Genomic DNA, 7,806 nt, shown 5'->3' on the forward strand with positions numbered 1-7,806 from the left:
CTGGCTGATGAAGCGACACTCCAAGGATCCCGTGACATTTTCAGTCATCACTAGCCAATGGTTACAAGACTACCCATCACTGACCTCCACCCAATGTGTGGTGGAGGTCAAATGTAGGAGAAGTAATTTGGCACTCCTACTTTTTTCAGTCAGCGAAGTATCAGTGTAAGTTTATAAGGGAGCTGGAACTGATCCCCTCACTTAATAAGGACCCAACCTTGGGTGTCAACAGACTCCAAGCAGAGAACCACGATTTTTACCCTAACCAGACAGAAATAAGGCAGCTTTCCCACTCTTCCTATGCTAAAGTGCTGTCAGGGAAACCCCAAAGTTTAAAAAGACCCAAAGTGTCATGACATAATACAAGTTTTAATAAAAAATTATTCATCTTGGAAGGGGTGGTTCTAAGATGGCCAAATAGGAACAGCTCCAGTCTACAGCTCCCAGCGTGAGCGAGGCAGAAGACAGGTGATTTCTGCGTTTCCAACTGAGGTACTGGTTTCATCTCACTGGAGCTTGTCAGACAGTGGGGACAGGACAGTGTGTGCAGCCCACCGAGCGTGAGCCAAAGCAGGGCAAGGCATCGCCTCACCTGGGAAGTGCAAGGGGTCAGAGAATTCTCCTTCCTAGCCAAGGGAATGGGTGACAGATGGCACCGGGAAAATCAGGTCACTCCCCACCCTAATACTGCGCTTTTCCAATGGTCTTAGCAAACAGCACAACAGGAAATTATATCTCGCACGTGGCTTGGAGGGTCTCATGCCCACAGAGCCTTGCTCATTGCTAGCACAGCAGTCTGAGATGGATCTGCAGGGCGGCAGCGAGGCTCGGGGAGGGGCGCCCACCATTGCTGAAGCTTGAGTAGGTAAACAAAGCCGCCAGGAAGCTCGAACTGGGTGGAGCCCATCGCAACTCAAGGAGGCCTGCCTGCCTCTGTAGACTCCACCTCTGGGGGCAGGGCACAGCTGAAAAAAAGGCAGCAGAAACCTCTGCAGACTTAAATGTCTCTGACAGCTTTGAAGTGAGTAGTGGTTCTCCCAGCATGGAGTTTGAGATCTGAGAATGGACAGACTGCCCCCTCAAGTGGGTCCCTGATCCCCGAGTAGCCTAACTGGGAGGCACCCCCCAGTAGGGGCAGACTGACACCTCACATGGCCAGGTACCCCTCTGAGATGAAGCTTCCAGAAGAACAATCAGGCAGCAACATTTGCTGTTCAGCAATATTTGCTGTTCTGCAGCCTCTGCTGCTCATACCCAGGCAAACAGGGTCTGGAGTGGACCTCTAGCAAACTCCAACAGACCTACAGCTGAGGGTCCTGACTGTTAGAAGGAAAACTAACAAACAGCCACACCAAAACCCCATCCGTATGTCACCATCATCAAAGACCAAACGTAGATAAAACCACAAAGATGGGGAAAAAACAGAGCACAAAAGCTGAAAATTCTAAAAATCAGAGCGCCTCTCGCCCTGCAAAAGAATGCAGCTCCTTGCCAGCAATGGAACAAAGCTGGATGGAGAATGACTTCGACAAGTTGAGAAAAGAAGGCTTCAGATGATCAAACTTCTCCAAGCTAAAGGAGGAAGTTCGAACCCATTGCAAAGAAGCTAAAAACCTTGAAAAAAGATTAGATGAATGGCTAACTAGAACAACCAATGTAGACAAGTCCTTAAATGACCTGATGGAGCTGAAACACATGGCAAAAGAACTACGTGACAAATGCACAAACTTCAGTAGCCAATTTGATCAACTGGAAGAAAGGGAATCAGTGATTGAAGATCAAATGAATGAAATGAAGTGAGAAGAGAAGTTAGAGAAAAAAAGAGCAAAAAGAAACAAACAAAGCCTACGAGAAATATGGGACTATGTGAAAAAACTCAATCTACATCTGATTGGTGTACCTGAAAGTGACGGGGAGAATGGAACCAAGCTGGAAAACACTCTGCAGGATATTATGCAGGAGAACTTCCCCAACCTAGCAAGGCAGGCCAACATTCAAAATCAGGAAATACAGAGAATGCCACAGAGATACTCCTCGAGAAGAGCAACTCCAAGACACATAATTGTCAGATTCACCAAAATTGAAATGAAGGAAAAAATGTTAAGGGCAGCCAGAGAGAAAGGTCAGGTTACCCACAAAGGAAGCCCATCAGACTAACAGCTGATCTCTTGGCAGAAACTCTACAAGCCAGAAGAGAGTGGGGGCAATATTCAACATTCTTAAAGAAAAGAATTTTCAACCCAGAATTTCATATCCAGCCAAACTAGGCTTCATAAGTAAAGGAGAAATAAAATCCTTTACAGACAAGCAAATGCTGAGAGATTTTGTCACCACCAGGCCTGCCCTACAATAGCTCCTGAAGGAAGCACAAATCATGGAAAGGAACAACTGGTACCAGCCACTGCAAAAACATGCCAAATTGTAAAGACCATCAAGGCTAGGAAGAAACTGCATCAACTAACGAGGAAAATAACCAGCTAACATCATAATGACAAGATCAAATTCACACATAACTATATTAACCTTAAATGTAAATGGGCTAAATGCTCCAATTTAAAAGACACAGACTGGCAAATTGGATAAAGAGTCAAGACTCATCAGTGTGCTGTATTCAGGAGACCCATGTCACATGCAGAGACACACATAGGCTCAAAATAAAGGGATGGAGGAAGATCTACCAAGCAAATGGAAAACAAAAAAAGGCAGGGGTTGCAATCCTAGTCTCTGACAAAACAGACTTTAAACCAACAAAGATCAAAAGAGACAAAGAAGGCCATTACATAATGGTAAAGGGATCAATTCAACAAGAAGAGCTAACTATCTTAAACATATATGCACCCAATACAGGAGCACCCAGATTCATAAAGCAAGTCCTTAGAGACCTACAAAGAGACTTAGACTCCCACCCAATAATAATGGGAGATTTTAACACCCCACTGTCAACATTAGACAGATCAACGAGACAGAAAGTTAACAAGGATATCTAGGAATTGAACTCAGCTCTGCACCAAGCAGACCTAATAGACATCTACAGAACTCTCCACCCCAAATCAACAGAATATACATTCTTATCAGCAACACATCACACTTATTCCAAAATGGACCACATAGTTGGAAGTAAAGCACTCCTCAGCAAATGTAAAAGAACAGAAATTATAACAAACTCTCTCTCAGACCACAGTGCAATCAAATTAGAACTCTGGATTAAGAAACTCACTCAAAACTGCTCAACTACATGTAAACTGAACAACCTGTTCCTGAATGACTACTGGGTACATAATGAAATGAAGGCAGAAATAAAGATGTTCTTTGAAACCAACAAGAACAAAGACACAACATACCAGAATCTCTGGGACATATTCAAAGCAGTGTGTAGAGGGAAATTTATAGCACTAAATGCCCACAAGAGAAAGTAGGAAAGATTTAAAATTGACAGCCTAACATCACAATTAAAAAAACTAGAGAAACAAGAGCAAACACATTCAAAAGCTAGCAGAAGGCAAGAAATAACTAATATCAGAGCAGAACTGAAGGAGATAGAGACACAAAAAACCCTTCAAAAAATCAAGGAATCCAGGAGCTGGTTTTTTGAAAAGATCAACAAAATTGATAGACTGCTAGCAAGACTAATAAAGAAGAAAAGAGAGAAGAATCAAATAGAATCAATAAAAAATGATAAAGGGGATTTCACCACCAATCCCACAGAAATACAAACTACCATCAGAGAATACTATAAACACCTCTACACAAATAAACTAGAAAATCTAGAAGAAATGGATAAATTCCTGGACACATACACCCTCCCAAGACTAAACCAGGAAGAAGTTGAATCCCTGTATAGACGAATAACAGGCTCTGAAATTGAGGCAATAATTAATAGCCTACCAACCAAAAAAAGTCCAGGACCAGATGGATTCACAGCCAAATTCTACCAGAGGTACAAGGAGGAGTTGGTACCATTCCTTCTGAAACTATTCCAATCAATAGAAAAAGAGGGAATCCTCCCTAACTCATTTTATGAGGCCAGCATCATCCTGATACCAAAGCCGGGCAGAGACACAACAAAAAAAGAGAATTTTAGACGAATATCCCTGATGAACATCAACCCAAAAATCCTCAATAAAATACTGGCAAACCGAATCTAGCAGCACATCAAAACGCTTATCCACTACGATCAAGTGGGCTTCATCACTGGGATGCAAGGCTGGTTCAACATACGAAAATCAATAAACATAATCCAGCATATAAACATAACCAAAGACAAAAACCACATGATTATCTCAATAGATGCAGAAAAGGCCTTTGACAAAATTTAACAATGCTTCATGCTAAAAACTCTCAATAAATTAGGTATTGATGGGACGTATCTCAAAATAATAAGAGCTATCTATGACAAACCCACAGCCAATATCATACTGAATGGGCAAAAACTGGAAGCATTCCCTTTGAAAACTGGCACAAGACAGGGATGCCCTCTCTCACCACTCCTATTCAACATAGTGTTGGAAGTTCTGGCCAGGGCAATCAAGAAGGAGAGAGAAATAAAGGGTACTCAATTTGCAAAAGAGGAAGTCTAATTGTCCGTGTTTGCAGATGACATGATTGTGTATTTAGAAAACCCCATCATCTCAGCCCAAAATCTCCTTAAGTTGATAAGCAACTTCAACAAAGTCTCAGGATACAAAATCAATGTGCAAAAATCACAAGCATTCTTATACACCAATAACAGACAAACAGAGAGCCAAATCATGAGTGAACTCCCATTCACAATTGCTTCAAAGAAAATAAAATACCTAGGAATCCAACTTACAAGGGATGTGAAGGACCTCTTCAAGGAAAACTACAAACCACTGCTCAACGAAATAAAAGATGACACAAACAAATGGAAGAGCATTCCATGCTCATGGATAGGAAGAATCAATATCATGAAAGTGGCCATACTGCTCAAGGTAATTTATAGATTCAATGCCATCCCCATCAAGCTACCAATGACTTTCTTCACAGAATTGGAAAAAGCTACTTTAAAGTTCATATGGAACGAAAAAAGGGCCTGCATTGCCAAGACATTCCTAAGCAAAAGAAAAAAGCTGGAGGCATCATGCTACCAGACTTCAAACTATACTATAAGGCTATAGTAACCAAAACAGCATGGTACTGGTACCAAAACAGAGATATAGACCAATGGAACAGAACAGAGCCCTCAGAAATAATACCACACATCTACAACCATCTGATCTTTGACAAATCTGACAAAAAGAAATGGGGAAAGGATTTCCTATTTAATAAATGGTGCTGGGAAAACTGGCTAGCCATATGTAGAAAGCTAAAACTGGATCCCTTCCTTACACCTTATACAAAAATCAATTCAAGATGGATTACAGACTTAAATGTTAGACCTAAAACCATAAAAACCCTAGAAGAAAACCTAGGCAATAGCATTCAGGACATAGGCATGGGCAAGGACTTCATGTCTAAAACAACAAAAGCAATGGCAACAAAGGCCAAAATTGACAAATGAGATCTAATTAAACTGAAGAGCTTCTGCGCAGCAAAGGAAAGTACCATCAGCGTGAACAGGCAACCTACAGTATGGGAAAAAATTTTTGCAATCTACTCATCTGACAAAGGGCTAATATCCAGAATCTACAAAGAACTCAAACAAATTTACAAGAAAAAAACAAACAACCCCATCAAAAAGTGGGTGAAGGATATGAACAGACACTCCTCAAAAGAAGACATTTATGCAGCCAACAGACACATGAAAAAATGCTCACCATCACTGTCCATCAGAGAAATGCAAATCAAAACCACAATGAGATACCATCTCACACCTGTTAGAATGGTGATCTTTAAAAAGTCAGGAAATAACAGGTGCTGGAGAGGATGTGGAGGAGTAGGAACACTTTTACAGTGTTGGTGGGACTGTAAACTAGTTCAACCATTGTGGAAGACAGTGTGGCGATTCCTCAAGGATCTAGAACTAGAAATACCATTTGACCCAGCCATCCCATTACTGGGTATATACCCAAAGGATTATAAATCATGCTGCTATAAAGACACATGCACACATATGTTTATTGTGGCACTGTTCACAATAGCAAAGACTTGGAACCAACACAAATGTCCATCAATGATAGACTGGATTAAGAAAATGTGGCACATATACACCATGGAATACTATGCAGCCATAAAAAAGGATGAGTTCATGTCCTTTGTAGGGACATGGATGAATGTGAAACCATCATTCTCAGCAAACTATTGCAAGGAGAAAAACCAAACACCACATGTTCTCATTCATAGGTGGGAACTGAACAATGAGAACACTTGGACACAGGAAGGGGAACATCACACACCAGGGCCTGTCATGGGGTGAGGGGAAGGAGGAGGGATAGCATTAGGAGATATACCTAATGTAAATGATGAGTTAATGGGTGCAGCACACCAACATGGCACATGTATACATATGTAACAAACCTTCACCTTGTGCGTATGTACCCTAGAAATAAATTATAATAAAAAAATTACTCATCATGTCAACAGCAAAGAAGATCTCAAAGTAAATGAATAAAGACAACTAACAGATGCCAACAATGAGATGACAAAAATTACCTGACAAATATTTTTAAGGAGATATCTTAATAATATTTTAATGAATAATTACAAACATGTGCTAAACAAATTGAAATATAGAAAACCCCAGCAAATAAGTAGAATATGTAAAGAAGAACCAAAGGAAAAATTTAAAATGGAAAAACATGATAACCAAATTTAAAATGCTCAATTGATGGGCTCAACAGCAGAATGAAAAGGACAGAGAAACAAATCAGTGAACTTGAAGATAGCTATAGAAATGGCCTAATCTGAAGAACAGAGTGAAAACAGAGAGCAGAGTCTCACAAACCTGTGAAACTATAACAAAATATCTAAAATTAATGACATAGTAGCCCTCTTTAGAAGAAGAGGAGAAAGAGAGTGGGACTGAAAATATACTTAAAGAAATAATGCTAACAACTTCCAAAATTTGACTCACTGAGTCAAAAAGTCAAATAAGTCTAAGGCGAAAAACCACACCAAGGCAAATTACAGTTACAAGTTCTGAAAAATAAAGTCCAAAAATATCATAAGAGCACCAGTAAGAAACAAATACCTTACTTATAGGATAAAACAATGTGAGTAACAGCAAATTTTTCATCAGAAACCATGGAGGCCAAAAAAGGTGTCGCAGTATTTTCCAAGTGCTAAAAGAAAAGAACTGTTAACAACAATCTTATATCTAGCAAAAATATTATTCAAAAATAAAGGAGAAATAAAAACATCCTTAGAGAAAGAAAACTAAGAGAATACATTGCCCTAAAAAATGATAAAAGAAGTTTTCTAAACAATAAGGTGATAGCAAAAGAATGAATCTTGGAACTTTAGTACATAAGGAAGAAAGATCAGGCTCACTAAAAATAAAGAAAAATACAATAGACTTCTTCTCCTGAGTTTTCTTAAACTATGCTTGACAGTTAAAGTGAATGTTTTAAAACTGTGAGATGATCTAAATGTATGTAGAGGAAATATTTAAGATAATTATATTGTGAATAAAGGAGGGTAAAATGACACCAAAAAAGGTAAGGTCTCTATATTTCACTTTGAATGATAAAATTATGATATCAGTAGGCTATAACAGGTATATTAATGTAATGTGTAAAGAACCAATAAAAAGGCTATGCAAAGAGATAGAGTGAAAAACAGTAGAAAAATCAAACTAAAATTATAAAATAAAGTTAAAGTCACAGGAAAGGAGGGAGAAAAAAGAAACAG

Source organism: Homo sapiens, chromosome 6 (assembly GCF_000001405.40).
Source record: "Homo sapiens chromosome 6, GRCh38.p14 Primary Assembly".
NCBI classification, from domain to species: Eukaryota; Metazoa; Chordata; class Mammalia; order Primates; family Hominidae; genus Homo; species Homo sapiens.